The sequence below is a fragment of the Homo sapiens genome, chromosome 19 (genome assembly GCF_000001405.40).
Source record: "Homo sapiens chromosome 19, GRCh38.p14 Primary Assembly".
In the NCBI taxonomy this organism is placed as follows: domain Eukaryota; kingdom Metazoa; phylum Chordata; class Mammalia; order Primates; family Hominidae; genus Homo; species Homo sapiens.
The window spans coordinates 5,914,008-5,933,044 of record NC_000019.10 but is presented as its reverse complement, the minus strand read 5'-3'; the positions used below and the strand labels follow the sequence as shown (position 1 = coordinate 5,933,044).

The window sequence follows — 19,037 nt, the reverse complement described above, 5'->3', positions numbered from 1 at the left end:
CGCTGCTAGTGAGCCGGCTGCTAGTGAGGCTGCCGGGGATGCTGCACAGGGCAGGGCACATGCAAGGGTCCTTGTCCCATCTGCCTTTGGCAGAGGGACTTCCTCAGCATGGCTGTTTTGAAAAACAGGTGCAAAATGTGCCTGTACGTGACCCCACACCGAGTCCTGAGCCTCCAGGTAGCTGCCTGTGAATGCACTGCTCTCCTCCCACAGTCTCCACTTGACTGTTGAGTCTGCCGGCGCCCCGCCACGTTACTGTGCTAACTGGATTAATTCACAGGCGTCGGTCACTGGGAGTTTCATGTAATCACATGTAAAAATAACAGTAGCCAGATCTCCTGGCCAGCTGTTAAAAAAAGACCTCAAGTTTTTAAAAAAGTGCTTCCCTGCAAAGTCTAGCCTGCAAGGGGCATGAAATGGGATGCCAGGGGTCAGTCTCTGAAGCGCCTGGGGGCAGGCAGGGGTCCACGGGCACTGGGAAGGCCGCCTTCTGTTCCTAGGTCTGCCAAGCCAGAAGCCCAAGGAGCAGCAGCGGAGCGTGCTTCGCCCGGCAGTGTTACAAGCTCCGCAGCCAAAGGCGCTGTCCCAGACTGGTAAGAAACAGCAGCCCTGGCGCCCAGGCCCAGACGGCAGGGTAGAGCGTTCCCGAAGTCGCACCCGGGACAGCAGTGTTGCGACAGAGGTGACTGCTGAATGCACCAGAAATACAGAGAGATCAGGGAAGATGATCCTTTAAATCACCCCCCAGCCGTCTCCAGCCCCAAGCCTCCTGAGCCCTGGCAACGGAGAAGGGAGAGGCGGCTCCACAGCTTCCTCACAGCTCTCGGCTGAGTGTGACTGTGTGGGTGAAACCTGCTTTGTTCATTCACTGTCTTCATAAAAGCAGGCCGGCTCCTGGGAATGAGATTTATCCCTGTGTGTTTGCAGATAGAATTTCAGCCTCAATTTTCACAGGTTATCTTTAAAAACTTGAAAGGTCATTTTATTTATTTATTTATTTATTTATTTTGGAGATGGGGTCTTGCTCTGTCACCCAGACTGGAGTGCACTGGTGCAATCATAGCTCACTGCAGCCTCGAACTCCTGGGCTCAAGCGATCCTCCCACCTCAGCCTCCCAAGTAGCTGGGACCACAAGTGTGCACCACCACACCCAGCCAGTTTGTTTTATCTTATTTTAGAAACGAGGACTTGCTGTGTTGCCCAGGCTGGTCTCAAACTCCTGGCCCCAAGCATTCTCCCCGCTTCAGCCTCCCAAAGCACTGGGACCACAGACATGAGCCACTGTGCCCGGCAGGTTTCTCTTTTTTGTTTGTTTCTCTTGTTTTTTTTTAAATCCAAGAATTTTGGCTCTTTGTAGAGATACCAGGTCCTTCCTTAAAAAGGAGACATGTGCTGTGGGCTTTACCATGGGAGGGGCCCTAGACTAGACGTGGCCCAGCCCCTCAGCTATGTGAGTGGGGGTGGGAGGGCCGCCAAGCACCTGTGATTCCCCACTCTCCTTCCCTCCCACAGTCCCCAGCAGTGGCACCAACGGGGTCAGCCTCCCAGCAGACTGCACGGGGGCAGTGCCCGCAGCATCCCCTGACACTGCTGCATGGAGAAGTCCTTCCGAAGCTGCCGATGAGGTGTGTGCACTTGAGGTCAGTGGGTCCTGAGGCAGGGAAGCGCTGCATGCTAGGCCCCTTGGGAGCGGGAGGGCAGCCTTCCCAGCATGCTGTGGAGTCCACACGCTGTCACCTGTTCCAAGCAGTTTCCACGTGGGCCTATTGTAAGGCTCTCTGGATTTGCTCAGTAGGCTCTAAATAACAGTACCTGACAAACCAGATCTAGATTCCCAAGGGTGGTCTTGCTGGTCAGGCAGAAGAAGAGTGTCTCCCAAGCAAGCTCTGCCGGAAGGACCTGTTGCCCAGAGTTCTGCCGGAAGGGCCTGTTACCCAAGGCTGACCGCCACATGTCTCACGGGAGTGATCCTTGAGGGAGGACCTGAACCACTGCACTCTGAGGAGTCACTAGGGCCCGAGGAACGGCTGTCACTGATGGGTGTCTTGCAATGTTTAACATGAGGAATGTCTCCCCTCTCTGTGTCCACACCCAAACCACCCCTCAGAGACTCCTATCTGTGTGGTTCCAGTTGAAAATTTTTCTTTGGGAGTCATCTCAGAAATAGTTTGTTTAGGCCGGACACGGTAGCTCACACCTGCAATCTCAGCACTTTGGGAGGCCGCGGCAGGTGGATTGCTTGAGGCCAGGAGTTCAAAACCACCCTGGGCAACATAGCAAGACTCTGTCTCTACAAAAAATACACAGATTAGCCAGGCATGGTAGCATGTACCTGTAGTCCCAGCTACTCAGGATGCTGAGGCTGGAGGATTGCTTGAGCCCGGGAAGGGGAGGCTGCTGTGAGCCGAGGTCACACCACTGCATTCCAGCCTGGACGACAGAGCCAGACCCTGCCTTAAAAAAAGAAATAGTTCCATTTAAGCGGGGGTATGGTTTGGATTATATGGGCCAAAAGCTTTGTGTTTCACAGCCACTGTGAAATAAGGGCCTTTGATGAAGAGCCTCCTTTGAAGTTGGCAGAGATGGGTTTGAAGTCAGAATTAGGGTAACACCATGTGGTATCTTCTGTGTAAAAGCCAGATTGGATCTTTGTGTTTATTTTCCGCTCTGTGTCCATGGCCTGCAGTTTTATACCCTCCATCCCCAGTAGATGTTCTGGCTCAAAGGGTGAAAATGGCTGTCCACAATTAAATTTGAAAACATCCTCACGCCCTTTTTCAAACGAGTTTGCTGAATTGGAAATAGGGATCATTTCCACCGCATTCTGCGGCTTGGAAGCTTTGACTGCTGAGGTCTCCTGAGCAGATCAGGTGTGCAGTTCTGAGTTGGAGAAGGACTTAGAAGTGACCCAGCCCGTCCCGCCATCTCCCAGTGTCTCTGATTGTCCCCGATGGTGAGTGCACAGGCTGACCTGGTAGCACCCGCTACCGAGAGCTTGTTCCTCACTGGAGAGGCCTTGCTGTGTCCCATCCCAGGGGACGGAGTCCGTCTTCCTGCCGGTTCCAGCCCCTTCTCAGCAGTGCACACAGCTTGTTCCCAAATGGTTGAGCTCAGAAGTTGTGATGTGCTGGCTGCCATTCCCAGCTCCTGCGTCTGGCTCCAAAGCCACTGCTCCATGTGGGTCTGGGGTGGAGCCATGCGGCCACACCCACGCTGCCCTCTGACCACACCCAGTACTGTTGAGATTCGCCAGGCTCGCTGTGTGTATCCTTCTCTGGCCCTACAGCAGGAGTCCGAGCTTTTCCAAGCCGCCCATGAACATGGCACACACTGCTCATCGGGAACGTGAGCTATGAGGCATCTCCTCTAAGGAGGGCTTAGATGTTGGGGGCGACCCATGGGGGAACTCCTGGTACCGTCTTTGGGAAAGTGGGGAAGAGGCTTCCCCTCCCGCCCCACACACACACAGAGTCTCAGACTGGTTACAGGCCTCGGGATTCGTTTATCAGTTTAAGCGAATCCTCTAAGCAGGCTCCGCCAGGTCATAGACATACCCTGTAGTCAGAAACATTTTGCTGTTTGCCTGCCCCATCTCAGGTGACTCTGTGGGCTCCACCCACCCGGGATTAGCACCAGTCGGTGTGAGCAGGGGGCACACAGCGCAGAAAGCCAAGAGCCAGGGAGTGTTTCTGCTGGACGGGATGCAGGCGGCCCCAGTGGGGCTGGGGATTAGCCCATCCTCTGAGGACTTCCAGGTCGCCAAACACGTTGTGTGTTTAATTTTAAAAAGCCACGTTCACTCTTGCACAGGCACAAGGATGCAGCGTGAAGTCAGCAGTAGCAGAATTTCTAGGGAGCACAGTAGAGAAACATTTACACTTTTCACTTCCTTCACAGTTGGACCAGAAAGTGCCCTCAGCGCTGTGATCCGCTGATTCTGGGCCTGGCATTGTAACTCCAGGCTTCCCTGCCCGCTGGACACGCTGAGCCAGTCAGAAGCTGCCTGCAGCCTTTCTCACCTCCGAGTTCACGGTTGTCAGGTCCCTTCACGACATCTCCCAGGAAAACACTCCCTGCCTCACGTTCATGTCCACTGTACACATCGCCAGAGACTCCAAAGATCTGCCAAAAGCCTTTTAAAATTTCTTTTCAAATTCTACAACACCTTTTTCATCATGTGGTATAGGAAAGACATATACAAATTACTAGCAACTCCATATTCCATTATCTCAAGATAAATGCATTTGGTCTTAGGATATTTAGTTACAAAAAAGTCATGCCTACATGTTGAAAATATTTACACAAAATGGAAATCCTAGAAAGTAACAAGCAGGAGCCACCCTCCAGCTAAGAGGTTCCCGGGTAACCTCCGTCAGTAGTTTGAATTCTCTCTCCCGACTTATTTTCCTGGGCATTCCTCAACACACATACACACCACACATACACACACACACACACCACACACACGGGACTGGATTGGCTTTAACAGAAATGGAATCGCACTTCCGTGTCCCACAAGCTGCTCTCTTCTCTGATCCATGTATTGTGGGCATGTCAGAGGCCTACCTCCCTCTCGGTGGTAATAGCTGTGCTGTACTTTTTTTCCCCCATATTTTCTATTGTAAATTATTTCATTCCTTGGCCAATGATGAGCAACCAGGTTATTTCCTGTCCTCTGCCGGCACTAAGGCTTCTGCAGGGCACAGGTGTTTCTTGTTGTTTGGAGACAGGTTTTTGCTCTGTCACCCAGGCTGGAGTGCAGTGGTGTGATCTCAGCTCACTACAACTCCCAGGCTCAAGCAGTCCTCCTGTCTCAGCCTTCTGAGTAGCTGGGAGTGCAGGCACATGCAGAGGAGACGTGTGGAGTACATGATCTGGTGTGGGATTGCTGGGCATCCGTCTGGGCCAAGTGTGGCACTGGTTTTGATTACTCTGTTTTGTTTTGGTTTTTGATAGGAGAAAGAGCCCCAGAAAAATGAGTCCAGCAATGCCTCTGAAGAGGAAGCCTGTGAGAAAAAAGACCCCGCCACACAGCAAGCCTTTGTATTTGGGCAGAACTTGAGGGACAGAGTTAAGGTATGTGAGCTGTTGAACCAGCACATTGACTTTTTATGCCTTCCCCAGGTTCAACAGCAGGCAAGTAGGTAGATTTTCCTTTTAACAGGGGAGGGGAGCGTGGGACAAAGAAGGTGTTAGCGAGGCAGCCCCATGGCTCACGGCACAGTCTGCTGCTGGTGTGCGTGTGCTGGGCCCTGGCACTTCCCCACCAGCAGCCCAGGCTTCGGAGCCCTCACCTGCAGTGACTTCTCAAGTCAGGGTCCCTGGTTCTCATGGTAGCGGGGACAGGGAAGGTGACTGAACCTGAGGCCTCAGGCTTTCATAGCAGAGAAGAAAGACAGCACGGTCCAGTGTTCTCAGCTCTGCCCAGAGGTTTCTGTTCCCGTATTTCAGGGTTTCTCTGTTTCAGCACTAGCAGCATTACGGCTGGACCATTCTTAGTTTCTGAGGAGTCGCCCTGGGCACTGCAGGGTGCTGAGCAGCATCACTGGCCTCCACCCACCCAATGCTCCTGACATCTGACAACCACAAATGTCCCCAGACGTGGCCAGTATTCCCTGTGGAGTAGAATCGCCCCCATTAAGAACTGTCACCTTATTTTTTTTTAAGTGGGGCAGGGTGGGGTGACAACACTGTCTTCTCTCCTGAAAGGGAGCAAAGCGTCTGCCACCTCTTGGCTGCCCTCCAGACATGTGGTCCTAGTTTGGAGATTGTGTGGTGGGGAAGGGATGGCAGTGGTTGGAAACAGTGGCCCTGGACCATGCACTGGGACTCTAGGAAGACCAGGGTCAGCCAGCACCACCTTTCCCAGCCACAGACATGGAATGTGCTACGGCATCTCTAGCAGCTCCACTGGCAAGAAGCTTCTTTCAAAGCTCGAGAGGCGGTATCGGTGGCTGTGTCTAGAGACTTTTGTGGTTGTCACAACTGGGAGGTACTTCTGGAGGTCAGGGATGCCACTCCGCCCCTTGCAGTGCCCAGGATAGCCACACCACAGGGAATGTTCTGGGCCCAGTGTCAACATGTCAGTAGTGTCGACGGGGAGGGCCCTGAAATAAACAAAAACCTCTCTAGCATGCAGAAAGCACCGGCTTGTGTTTTCTGCTTTCCTTTCTGTTACTCACCGTCCAACAGAAGCCCAAGTCGAGAAACGTGGAAAGTTGATGTTGCTGTTGCCATGGCTTTAGGCAAAATAATGAGTCCCTCAGGGGCTGTTCCCTCCAAGGAGGGAGGGCAAGAGGCGGGGAAGGGCTTGGCCTGTGGAGTTCAGGCCCTGTGGAATCTCTGCCTTGAGTCTGGGGAGACAGCTGCTTTGAATTTGGTGGGGTTGGCTTCTTGCAGAAGTCAGAGGCTTACGTGCACTTCGCAGTCTCAGTCAAATCCCAGCCTCTCCTTCCAGGGCAAACTTGAGCCATGGATTCTTTTTTTTTCTTTGGACACGAAGTCTTGCTGTGTCGCCCAGGCTGGAGTGCAGTGGCATGATCTCTGCTCACTGCAACCTCCACCTCCTGGGTTCAAGCGATTCTCCTGCCTCAGCCTCCCAAATATCTGGGATTACAGGCGCCCACTGCCACATCCAGCTAATTTTTTGTATTTTTAGTAGAGGTGGGGATTTCTCCATGTTGGCCAGGCTGGTCTCGAATTCCTGACCTCAAGTGATTCCCCGCCGCCTCAGCCTCCCAAAGTGCTGGTATTACAGGCACGAGCCACCGCGCCCAGCCAGAGCCATGGTTTCTTAACCCTCTGAGCCTCTGCTTCCTTGTTGGTCAAACAGGGTCCCTAACATCCCCCTCCCAGGCCTCGTGAGGATTAAAGCAGATCGTGCATTTGACAGACTCAGCATAGCAGCTGGTAGGAAAGAGGCCCTCAAGAAATTCTGCTTCTATCATGTTCATAGTAAACCCCCCAAAACGTCAGCTTTGTAACGTTGTGTTATTGGTATGAAGCATTGACCGAGAGGCCAGCTTAGGCGTGGTTTTATAACAAGGCGTGGTTTTGTAACAAGGTGGAAAAGGCTCCTTGGAGCTTCATGAGCTCTCTTTCCATCCTAACTGTTAAAGCAAAAGGTGATGGAGTTGATTATAGCCCTGCCCCCCAGCACATGCACGCGCACACACACAGGCGGGTACAGGAGAGGGTTCATGGCTCCGAGCAGCTCCATGCAGCTCAGGGGGTCTGCAGACACTGAGCTGTGGAACTCCAGGCACCCCCCCACCCCCGATTACTGAGCGCTCCGTCTCATTCCCAGCTGATAAATGAGAGCGTGGACGAAGCCGACATGGAGAATGCTGGACACCCCAGCGCAGACACGCCAACCGCAACGAACTATTTCCTCCAGTATATCAGTTCCAGGTGTGTGTCTCGGTGTCAGCGGCCAGCCTGGCATGGCGATGCAGGTGGCCGCGAGGGCTTCTGCCAGAGAGGGGTCTGTGGTCCCCGTGCCCGACTCAGGCCCAGAATCCAGGTTGCTCTCAGGCCCCTCTCTCTCATTCCCCACTCTGGGCACAACCTTGGGTGGGCCAGGGTGGTGGGCCTTGTCCTGGGATTCACTGGACGCCTGAGACAGGACCAGAGTTCTGTGGGGTTGTCCAGGGGCCCATGGAGGCTACAGCCCAGCCCTTGGAGTGTGCCCTCTGTCTTGTGGACCTCATGCCCAGAGCAGAACAGAGCAGGCCAGAGGCGACTCAGGCGCCCCCTTATTCTGGGTTTGGGCACCTGGGGCAAAGACCTCATCATGTCCTTGACTGACATGGCTGGGGGTAATGCTACCCACGGACCAGCTGCCCCTCCAGGTGTCTCAGAAGAAAGCGTGTCCCGACTGGGAGATGGGCGGGTAGAGCAGGTGGAAGGTGGCTTCCCTCATGCTGTGGGGCCCCTCCATCAGGGCGAGCTAAGGGTTAATGTTTTCAATGGCACAGGGAGGTGTGTGGCTTCCTGCCTCTGACACGCCACCCCGTGCACAGTGGCGGAGGCCCCTCCACTGTGCCCTCTGTGTCAGTGTGTGCTCCATGGGTACCCATACATTTGCCTGGCCACGTTCCCACGTGACGCCCCACACTCATTGCACATCTTCTCTTCAGTTTAGAGAACTCAACCAATAGTGCCGACGCCTCCAGCAACAAATTTGTATTTGGCCAGAACATGAGCGAGCGAGTTTTGGTGAGTGGCTGTGTTGGGAATGTTCTCAGGGACCAGAGGCTCTCGGCGCCAGCCACAGGTCAAGGGGACATGGAGAGCAGGGCTGCTGTGTCGTCCTATGTGAGATGGGGATGCCTTCAGTAGCAAGTGAGAGAGGGAAGACCCTGCTCAGACTCAGCCTGAAAACTGGCCAGGGCCACTGGCTGCCTACGAACTGGCATTCGCTTTTCCCGGCTCCTCCGTGCTGACCAGGGCCAACTTCATCCCAAGATGGGCTTCCCTGGAGGCTGCAGGGTCCTGCTGGCAGTCGGGGTCCATGGTTCCTCCCCACCAGGCCAACTGACAAAAGTCCTGTGGGACGGAGCCAGCCGTGCTGGTGGACAGGGTTGCTGGCCTCCCTGCTCCTGTGAGCATAACCGCGGCCAAGGCCTTGGGTGCACGAAAGGCCCATCTCCGTTCCCAGGAGCCCAGCCAGCCTGGGAGAGGGTTCTAGAATGGTTTGCCTACCTCTTTACACATGTTCCTTTTTCTTCCTGATTCCACCCAGCTCCATTGCGACTGCGTGAGGGCCTGTCCTGAGCCGCCTGGTCACTCTAGCTCTGTCTGGAGTTAGGCTGCATTAAGTACTCTGCAGCTTCTCTTCCTTCGTGGCCACGCTGTGCTTTTTCTATTTCAATGAAATGTTCAAAGTCTTGCCTCACCCAGACGGAGTGACCAGTGTGGCTCGAGGGGACTGTCGGCTGGTGGCACTCACCCCGTAGTGATGCCTGAGGGACCACGTGGGGAGCTCCCAGGCAGTTCAGGGTGTCACCGGGAGTGGGCAGGAGTGCTGGGGGCAGCGTAGTGTTGGGGGCCAGGCAGAGAGGTGCTCAGAGCTGCTGCTGAAGGACCACACAAGTGCCCTCTTCCTTGTATGCTTTTGTGTCCCTGCAGAGCCCCCCAAAATTAAACGAGGTCAGTTCAGATGCCAACAGGGAAAATGCAGCTGCCGAGTCAGGGTCTGAGTCCTCGTCCCAGGAGGCCACCCCTGAGAAAGGTATGTTAGCGTCCCACCACAGCATGGGGCTCATGGTAGGTCATCTTGGGGGATGCTGGGTCCATTCACACCCCCAGCCGGGAGGGATAAGGGGCCCGACTCCCGCAGCAGTAACAACCACATGTGAACCAGCTCCAGGGCCCTGCCTTGCAGTGAGCAAGGGTTTGTGATAAAGAACTCGAGGGCCTGTGTCGCCTTGTGGCCGTGGGGAGGGTGGGGAGGCGCAGGCAGCAGGCGTGGAGGAGTCCCTCACTGTCCCCCCGTCGACTGCTCGGCACGAACACGAGAGTCTGGGGCCACACTTGGCCCCCAGATGGTCTCCCTGCAGCTTCTGAGGCCATATGCTCTGGCTGTGTCTAGGGTCCACTTGGGTTGCCGGGGCAGGCCTGCCAGGGGCAGCAGGCGTCCTTGAGACCAGAACCAACCCTCTCATCTCCTGTCGGATGAGGGGAGATGGCTCTCCTCTCGCCAAATAATCAGTCAGTCTTTTTGGCCAATAACTTTTCAGAGTCCCTGGCTGAGTCGGCAGCCGCCTACACCAAGGCAACAGCGCGGAAGTGTTTGTTGGAAAAAGTGGAAGTCATCACCGGGGAGGAGGCGGAGAGCAATGTGTTACAGGTGAGGGGCCGGCCCCTCCTCGGTGGCCCTGGGTCTTCCATGCACCTGGGGGTCCAACCGCAAGGGCTGGGCCCACATCCTCTGAGCACACAGGCCTGCCCCTGAGATGACGGAGGGGCCACTGGCCCCACGCTCTGGGACTTTGTTGGTGGCGTTTGTAGAGAGAGCTTAGGCTCAGGGGCTTCTTGCATGTCTTTGGTTTCAGAGGAGGAGGATCTGTTTGAGACATTCTTTGTTTTGTTTTAATTTTTTTTGAGACAATGTCTTACTCTGTCACCCAGGCTGGAGTACAGTGGCACAGTCTCGGCTCACTGCAACCTCTGCTTCCTGGGTTCAAGGGATTCTTGTGCCTCAGTCGCCTGAGTAGCTGGGATTACAGGTGTGCACCACCACGCCAGGCTAATTTTTGTATTTTTAGTAGAGACGGGGTTTCCCCATGTTGGCCAGGCTGGTCTCAAACTCCTGACCTCATGTGATCCACCCGCCTCGGCCTCCCAAAGTGCTGGGATGACAGGCGTGAGCCACCACGCCCAGCCCGAGACATTTTTGATGGTTCAGGGAATGACAAAGACTGTCATACCAAACATATTCTCTTGTCGCCCAGAGCTGGCAACTGTATTATTTGTCACCTGGCATCCTGTGGTGTCTTCGTAGGGAAAAGATCAGGTGCGGCCAGAGGTTCCACCCCACCGTCCCCTCCTGGCATCCCCCATTCCTGCTCCTCAGGCCGCACCACCCGGCTTGGGCAGCATCCATGTGCTTCCTCTCCCGTGGCACATAAGCAGGTGTCTGTGTCTGTAAACCGGGTGGCGTATCGTGGCGTTCTTAAGAGCACTGTTCTTTTTTCCCACTTACCACTTTGTCATCTGTTCATGTTGAAAGAGATTGACTTAGGGGGTATGTGGAAAGCCATGTAGGGGTGTCTGTCTCGTATTTTTCTTTGTTTATATATACAAAACTGCTGTATTGAAATATAGTACAAATGCTATATAATCCATCCTTTTAAAGCATACAATTCCGTGGTTTCTAGTATATTCACAGAGTCAGACAACTTTCACCAGAATCTAACGTACAACATTTCTGCCCCCAAAAAGAACACTGTCCCATTCCCCCAGAAAGAGCATTGTCCATTCGCAGTAACTCCTCCTCCCTCCCCAGCCCCTGGCAGCCACAGATCCACTTCCTGTCTCTGTTTTTTGCCTGTCCTTGACATTTCATATAAATGGCATCAACGCACTATGTGGCCTTTCGTGTCTGGCTTCTCTCGCTGAGCCAGAGGTTCATCCACGTTGCAGCGGGGGTCGGAGCCTTGTTCTTTATTAAGACTGAGTGAGATGCGCTGTAGGGGCGGACCATGTGTGTCACTCCATTCCTCCTTGAGACTTGGCTACCGTGAATGATGGTGCTGTGCACGTTCATGTGCGATCTGTGTGTGAACACGAACAAATGTTCCATTTCTCTTGGGTACATACCGAGGAATGGAATTGCTTGGGCATGTGGTAATTCCTTGTTAAGCAGTTTGAGGAGCCGCCAGACTCTTCCACAGCAGTGGCACCATGCGGCCTTCCCGCCAGCAGTGTGTGAGGGTTCCAGCTTCCCCACATGGGTATAGCCGTCCTAGAGTGCGCAGAGAGGCTTCTCACCGTTGTTTTGCTTTTCATTTCCTTAGTGATTCTTTTAATTTCAGATACCCCTTATACAATGTAAAGCCTGTTCTAGCTTGAGGGCAGGACAAAAAACTGACCAAGGTGGCCCCCAGGCCGTCGTTGGCTGGCCCTGGCAGTCCCCACAGGCTAAAGGGCGACTCTCAGGGTGTGGCTGCAGCAGGACACCAGCTGGGGTCCCTGCTTACCGGCGGCCACTGTGTTCCAGATGCAGTGCAAGCTGTTTGTCTTTGACAAGACCTCACAGTCCTGGGTGGAGAGAGGCCGGGGGCTGCTCAGACTCAATGACATGGCGTCCACCGATGACGGCACACTACAGTCCCGACTAGGTGAGCTGCCGACGGCGGGGGCTGTGGCCGGGTCCCCATGGGGAGGGCTGGGGACTATGCAATTCCAAAGGGAATGAAGCGGGGGAGATCCTGACCCTACCCTTGTGAGAGTCAAGGCACAGAGTCGGTCTCCCATGAGAGCCGCCCCCCAAACCCCCTCCCTGCACCCAGCCCTCAACACCACCCTCACACACTGGCTCCAGCTGCCAGCTCGTCCGTGACCCTCTTAGTGTCAAAATGGACAAAAGTCTATGGAAGTTTTTAAGCTGATTTTCTGACAAAGTGGCAGGTTTATGATAGAAAGGAAAATGAAATCAAACATCAAGTCTAATCTCTTGATAAAGACAAATTTTGGCCAGGCGCAGTGGCTCACGCCTGTAACCCCAGCACTTTGGGAGGCCAAGGTGGGCGGATCACCTGAGGTCAGGAGTTCAAGACCAGCCTGGCCAACATGGCAAAACCCTGTCTCTACTAAAAATACAAAAATTAGCCGGGCATGGTGATACATGTCTGTAATCCCAGCTACTCGGGAGGCTGAGGCAGGAGAATTGCGTGAACTTGGGAGACGGAGATTGCAGTGAGCCGAGATTGAGCCACTGCACTCCAGCCTGGGCGACAGACCAAGACTCCATCTCAAAAAAAAATAAAATATACTGTTTTTGAAAAGCTTTCATGTTAATATTCCATTGACAGTCAATGGACTTTTCCCTATTGGTGGACATTTAGCTTGGAGTACCTGCATACACACACCCACTTAAGGAAATCAGCCTGTGTGTGTGCACATTTGAAATGTGGGCGTGTCTTTTTTTTCCTTCTAAAGCTGATTTCACTCCATCACCCAGGCTGGAATACAGTGTGATCATCGCCTCAAATTCCTGGGCTCAAGTGATCCTCCCACCTCAGCCTCCTGAGTAGCTGGGACTACAGATGCACCACCACGTCTGGCTAATGTTTTTATTTTTGTCTTTATAAAGACAGGTCTCCCTGTGTTGCCCAGGCTGGTCTTGAGCTCCTGGCATCAAACAGTCCTCCCACCTCAGCCTCCCAAAGCGCTGGAATTACAGGCGTGGGCCACTGCGCTGGGACCATCTTTTTGTTTTATCTTCCCAAATCAAAGTGTCTTCTGGCCTTTTCATAAATATGGGTTTCAGGCCCAGCAGTAACTCAAGCAGCCCCCTTGAAGGGTAGTGTTCATGCACTTCAATCAGAAACACTGCTCTGGTCAGAACAGACAGGGGATGTCCCTGCAGGCTGGGACTGCTCTTTTGTTCCCCATGGACGTCTTTTTTTTTTTTTTTTGAGACGGAGTTTTGCCCTTGTTGCCCAGTCTGGAGTGCAGTGGCTTCGTTTCGGCCCACCGCAGCCTCCACCTCCCAGGTTCACGCGATTCTCCTGCCTCGGCCTCCCGAGCAGCTGGGCTTATAGGCACCCGCCACCAAGCCTGGCTAATTTTTTTATACTTTAAGTAGAGACAGGGTTTCTCCACATTGGTCAGGCTTGTCTCGAACTCCTGACCTCAGGTGATCTGCCCACCTAGGCCTCCCAAAGTCCTGGAATTACAGGCTTGAGCCACTGTGCCCAGCCTTATGGACGTCTTCTTGTGTTTTTCCTTTTGTCTCGTGGAAATGTTCAAATGTCCATGGAAAGAGAGGGCATAGAGCCCTGAGCCCCCAGGTCATCCCCTCTGCCTGGGTCATCAGCCTGTAGCCCCGTGGCAGCAGTACCCTCCCCAGCTTCAGGGAGAGCAAAATCACCTCTGTCTTTCTCCCACTCGGCCTCTGAGGTGGGCACCTGGGCTCAGGGAGGTCTGTTCGCTGGGCCAGGGCAGGGGGACAAGTTTCTGACCGTCTCCAGGCCTGCTCCAGTGGGGAGAGGCGGCTGGCAGGAAGGTAGGGGCTTGGCTGAGTCCACGGGGTGGGCCCAGGCCAGGCGCAGGGGTGTTGCATCCTCTAGAAGAGTCAGGGCCCTCCCATTTTCCTCCGTAATCTGCTGCCCACAGTCCTCTCGTCTCCTCTCCATGGAAGCGCTAAGCTGCGGTCCTACTCTGCCTTCTCCTAAGGAAACCAGAGGGCAGGGCTGGCCCACTCAGGGGAGGCCAGTCAGGAGGACGTGGACTCCCATGGAGGCCGATGTCTCACACACACAGAAAGCGCATGCACCTTGAGTGTCAGCCCCTGCCTCCCGCAGCCCACCCCGTACTCCTCTCTAATCCCCCCTTCTCCAAGGGAACTGCCATCCTGGTGCCCACCTGTGTGGACCAAACACAACCTCCCACAAGCTGCATGTGGCCTCTGGTCACTGATCTGCAGCACCAGCCTGTGCAGCCACCTGCAGTTGTGGCCTTCAGTGGTCCAGGCTTGGGGAGGAGGAGCCCCGCCCCGGGAGCAGGTGTGCCAGGGCTGGCCTCAGGGAGAAGTCTTGCTCTGTGGGTGGGTCCTGGGAGGATCATGGGCTTTTGCGCGGTGATGTCGCTTTCCATCTGGACTGTGTTGGCTCTTGGAGCTGGCTGTTTGTGAGGGGGCCGGTGTGGGGGCCAGGGCTGAGTGGCCTTGTTGGTTGTAGTGATGCGGACCCAGGGGAGCCTGCGACTGATCCTCAACACCAAGCTGTGGGCCCAGATGCAGATCGACAAGGCCAGCGAGAAGAGCATTCGCATCACAGCCATGGACACCGAGGACCAGGGCGTGAAGGTCTTCCTGATCTCGGTGAGCCAGCCACGCGGGTGCATCTGGGACCCCTCATCCTGCCAGCCCTGTGGGGGTTCCTGGGCACACAGATCAGGCAGGACGGTGGGGAGGGGAGGGGGGAGGGGCTTCAGTTGCTTCCTGGGACACAAGAAGCACTATGGGACCCGCCAGTCCCAGCCTTCAGGAATAGAGATCATGGTCCTTGTCCTCTTCTCAACCCAGAGAAGCCGCTGGGGTTTGGCTGAGGGGTTGTGATGTGTTCAGGGCTAACAGCCCTGTGGGGCGGTCACCTCTCTCCTATGTCATGGTGTCACAGTCGAGTCCACCAACCCTGACCTCTGGGATATTCCCAGCCACCTGGGAGTGGTGGCATCCTTTCGGGGAGAGGCCGGCAGGCCCAGGGCCAATGGCCTCCCCACAAGGCCTTGTGGCAGTGTCACCTCTGAACCTTGGGACTTGGCACTTGTGTTCTGCAGAAGGCAGGAGGGGGTAGGACTGGGGTCCGGGGGTCTCATACCCTCCTCCCTTCCCAGGCCAGCTCCAAGGACACAGGTCAGTTGTATGCAGCCCTGCACCACCGCATCCTGGCCCTGCGCAGCCGCGTGGAGCAGGAGCAGGAGGCCAAGATGCCCGCGCCTGAGCCTGGGGCAGCCCCATCCAACGAGGAGGACGACAGCGACGATGACGATGTCCTGGCTCCTTCAGGGGCCACCGCAGCTGGTGAGTCGGGTGGTCCCTACCCTGGGGGGGATAGAAAGAGCTGCCCGCCATCCTTGATCCAGTGCTGATCTCCTGGCGGGGGTGGCCAGACCTGGGAAGTGCGGGCTCCATCCTGATGCGGGGCTGCTGCTTCCCTGCAGGTGCTGGTGACGAAGGGGACGGGCAGACGACCGGGAGCACATAGCGGCCGGGAGCCCGGCTGCACACCAGGCTGCTGCTTTGTCCGTCTATCCACCCGCCCACCCGCCCCCACCCCACCGGCAGCGTCCAGGTGCGGGGCCGGGAACCACACACCCCACTGGGCCGGCCACAGTCTGGACCCGCACGTCCTGTTCAAAAGCAGACTCGGGAACTGCCTGAATGTGGTTTGGGACACGAGACCTCATCATATTGATGAGCGAACAAACAAGAACATTTCCTCCCTCCCCTCCTTTGAATTGAAATGGCACATTAAGACTTGTCACGGCTTCTCACTGGGACTGGAGACCTCGTTCCTTCACCCCGCGTGTCGCCAGCCTCTGGGTCCAGCCAGAGCCCCTGGCTTCTCCGCCACCCACACCCTTCCCACCCTGCTGTGGGGCCCTGCCTTTGTGGGGAGCAGCCAGCCCTCTGCCCCTGCCCAGGGCTCCCCAACTATAGGCCTGGGACCCCCGCCCAGCTTGGGGGGCTGCTCGTACGAGTGTAGACACTGGGCCCATTGGACGTGCTGTTAACTACTATCTTCATTTCCCACTTCCCCTCTCTGATTGGGGGTGTATATTTTACATCTTTTTTTCTTTTTATTTTCGAAGGCTTTGTTTTGGTTTCTTAGGTTAAGATGCTCTCGAGCGTTGAGCAGGCACAGCTCTGTCGAGGTCCCTGTCCCCCACCTGTGGTTCTGGCCTCTGAGGTTGGGGGACTACTTGTTTCCCACCCCAGGTTCCTCCAGGCCAAGTCATGGGGTGATGAGGAGTTGGGGCCCTGTCTGTCCTAGGCCTGGAGAGTGCCTGTCTGGGAAAAGGTCACTGGACCTGGAAGGGTCCCCAGGGTCCCCTGACTCCCGTCTCCATCTGTCACGTGGTTCACCATCATCAGGCACCAGGCGCAAACTGCTTCCCGCTGTTGGCCATCCCTTCCCCAGCCACAGGTGTCCCTGCCCCCAGGACAGTCCAGGGCCAGGGGCTTCTGTGAGAGGCAGAGGGGGACCCTCACCAAATCTTGGTGGAAGAGCCCAGGGGCTGGTCCCAGAACAGGCAGTCTCACAAGCACGCAGCACACTGGAGTGGACGCCTGTGCCCACCCGAGCCTGGAGCATGGCCAAGAGCCAGCTTGCACCACCCACCTGGGAGGCCGAGGAGGAGGTCCCCTGGGCACAGGGCCTCTTTGGGACTTCAGAGGAAATCTCCCAGTCCCACTCTCGGAGGGTTAAGAGAAGGCCTCCTGCAGCTGTGCCGTCCACACCTCTAGGTCGCCAGAGCCCTGGCCCCCAGCCCCCAGCAAGCCTGAGCCCGGGAAGAACCAGAGGCCCTCCCGAGAGACCCAGTCACACGTCTCTGCTTTAAGCCTTAGCCAGCTAGTGACGAGTACAACGAGATAACGCCCATGTGTTTTGGAACATTTATGTAAGATTGTCATATGAAATGTATTTGGGAACTACATTAAACTTTTAACTAAAACCCTGGCCTCTGCATGCCCCAGGGGCCTCAGGAAGCCCCTGACCAGGAACGGCCTCCACCTCCCCGGGCGAGGACCTCCAGCAGCCTGGGGCCTCATGCTCCCACCCAGCGTGTCACCAGTGCTGGGGTCCAGCCACAGCCCTGTTCTCTCCACCACCACCCGCACTTTACCCCCACCCCTGCTGCAAGGCCCCGCCGGTCTGCCCCCGCCCAGAGCTCCCAGCCTCGGGCCGCTCACCAGAATGTAGATACTGGGCCCGCTGGACATGTTACCTGCTATTTTTATTCCCCATTTGCCATCTTCTGATTGGGGGTTGATGTTTTACAGATTTTTTTTTCAAAGGCTTTATTTCAGTTTCTGAGGTTAGGATGCCCCTGTGCCCCTCGCTCCACACCTGGGCAGGTCTAAACTTCCTTCCAGGATGGCCTCCACACACAGCCTCCCACCTGGGGTCACCTGGCTTCCTGGGGGACCCGCAAGGGAGGGGCAGGGAGCAGCAGTCCGGGTGCGGGGATCGGGGGACCTCGGCGGGGGCATCCACAGGGGCTGCAAGATCTCTGGTCAGCATGGCGTGGGTGGGGAGAGCGTTTCTCCCTGGGGTCCTGAGCCAGTGACTCCTGTTAGGACCTTTGTCCCACCTCCGCCTGGTGGACCGGCAGGGACCTGGTCTAGCCAGTCCTGCAGCCTCCATTCCCCCACCTGCCCCTCCCCGCTCTGTGGTGTGGCTGCCCAGGAGAGAAGGGGCCCAGGGAAGGGAGGTCTCCGGCAGGGGTGGGGAGTGACAGGCCAGGGCAGCAGGGCTGAGCCGGAGCTGCTCACAGCTGCCAGGCACTGGTCATCATGGCCACGAACTCCTCATCCGTGTTCATGGAGGCACTCACGCCGCTGTAGTAGTCCTGGAATTCCGCCAGTGTGACCTGGGAACAGAGGGCCGTGAGGGGGCACGGCCGAGGAACTGCCTGGGGAGGGGGCCCCCCGCGCAGCCACCCACCTGCCCGTCCTTCTCAGAGGAGTCGAAGTTGTCCAGGAAGCGGCGCAGCACCTCGTCCTCGGTCCACTCCCCACTGCGCACCTTGGGGTGGGCACGGCCACTGTACACCCCGCGGAGGTCGTCCACCGTCACGACGCCGTCCCCACTGCGGTCCAGCTTGGCAAATGCAGCTGCGATGACAGCCTCCCGGGCCTGGGACATGGGGGGCTGGGACAGGAGGTGGTGACTGGGGGTGGTGGGTAGCACACCCAAACCCCCAAGACGCTGTGCAGAGCACTGGGGCTGTATGCCCCAGCAGGCGCCTCTTAACAGCAGCTCTTAGGGAGGAGTCCCCGTCTCCGCATCTCAGCATCCTCTGTCGCCCCATGCCCAGGGCACACGCCTTGACTGTGAGGTGGGGGCTCACCCGCAGCGCCCGAAGGAACTCCTCCAGATCCAGCGTCCCGCTGCCATTGCGGTCCCACTTCCTGCACACACCCTCTGCCTCCGCCTGGTCCAGCACCAGCCCGAGTTTGGCCAGACCCTGCCGGAACTCATCAGCGTCCAGGGATCTGCTCCCGTCCCGGTCTAGTTGGCGGAAAAACCTGGAGGCAGGGGACACGGTTGGAACAGTGGTCTCAGGGGCCGGGGTCAGGAAGGTGAGAGGGGACAGCTCACCTGGCCAGGCCCTGGATGCCCGAGGCCCCGCGGGACAGGCACTGTGCCCGGAGTTTCTCCATGGTGGCATCCACGGCGTCCATGCTTGGTCTGGGCTCTGGGCAGCTGGAAGGGAGAGAGGTCAAGGTGGGGACTCCCGCAAGCCCACCCTGGCCGACTGCCCCTTGTTCAGATGCTCACCTGGCCTGCGTCTGTCCCAGAGTCCTGCCTGCGGGGCCTTGTGTTAGCTGTGTTGTGCCTGGGGAGACTGTTGCTAGTGGAAGGTGCCTCTGGAGATGGGGTGGGGCCCAGCTGCATGAATGCACTGTGCTGGGCAGTGGGGAGTGGGGGAGGGATGGGTGCGCCCAGCCTGACTGCTTACTCAACTGCCAGCCCCACAGGGCCTGGGACAGAGCCAGATCCCTGTGGCACTGCATCCCTTCCTGGCTCCAAGGAGGAGGGGCAGGCCACTGCCCTGCAGGGGCTGAAATGCCCTGGATGGA

At 56.5% G+C, this 19,037-nt stretch overlaps 2 protein-coding genes across 17 annotated transcripts in view, besides 1 other annotated feature; one reads left to right on the top strand and one right to left on the bottom strand.

Moving 5' to 3' along the window:
* The window catches only part of RANBP3 (RAN binding protein 3), a 62,002-nt gene extending 45,096 nt beyond the window's left edge, over positions 1–16,906 (top strand). For 12 of the 15 annotated variants that reach the window (XM_047439569.1, XM_011528394.2, NM_007320.3 and 9 more), the window contains 11 exons: positions 501–593; positions 1,514–1,641; positions 4,958–5,077; positions 7,308–7,411; positions 8,140–8,218; positions 9,131–9,233; positions 9,742–9,851; positions 11,724–11,844; positions 14,407–14,549; positions 15,065–15,251; positions 15,392–16,906. In XM_047439569.1, coding sequence (XP_047295525.1) covers positions 501–593; positions 1,514–1,641; positions 4,958–5,077; positions 7,308–7,411; positions 8,140–8,218; positions 9,131–9,233; positions 9,742–9,851; positions 11,724–11,844; positions 14,407–14,549; positions 15,065–15,251; positions 15,392–15,435 — 1,232 coding nt within the window. In that variant the 3' untranslated portion in view covers positions 15,436–16,906. The remainder of the gene's footprint in view (positions 1–500; positions 594–1,513; positions 1,642–4,957; positions 5,078–7,307; positions 7,412–8,139; positions 8,219–9,130; positions 9,234–9,741; positions 9,852–11,723; positions 11,845–14,406; positions 14,550–15,064; positions 15,252–15,391) is intronic. The other 3 variants (XM_047439570.1, NM_001300865.2, NM_003624.3) reach the window with 1 other exon arrangement.
* Positions 5,084–5,173: an enhancer, noted in NCBI's record as "active region_13818". NCBI's record gives its function as "activates an Ori minimal core promoter by ATAC-STARR-seq in GM12878 lymphoblastoid cells {active_cell/tissue: GM12878}" and the evidence as "EXISTENCE:reporter gene assay evidence [ECO:0000049][PMID:35858748]".
* Positions 16,834–18,791, bottom strand: CAPS (calcyphosine). 2 transcript variants are annotated; one of them, NM_004058.5, is made up of 5 exons: positions 18,736–18,791; positions 18,556–18,660; positions 18,305–18,482; positions 17,899–18,105; positions 16,834–17,824 (listed from the first exon to the last, which is right to left on the bottom strand). In NM_004058.5, the coding sequence occupies exons 2-5, from the start codon at positions 18,636–18,638 to the stop codon at positions 17,723–17,725; spliced, it is 570 nt and encodes a 189-aa protein (NP_004049.3). In that variant the 5' UTR covers positions 18,639–18,660; positions 18,736–18,791; the 3' UTR covers positions 16,834–17,722. The 2 variants fall into 2 exon arrangements, with proteins under 2 accessions (NP_004049.3, NP_542157.3); NM_080590.4 differs by having other exon boundaries at positions 17,980–18,105.
* Positions 18,792–19,037: the final 246 nt, after the last annotated feature.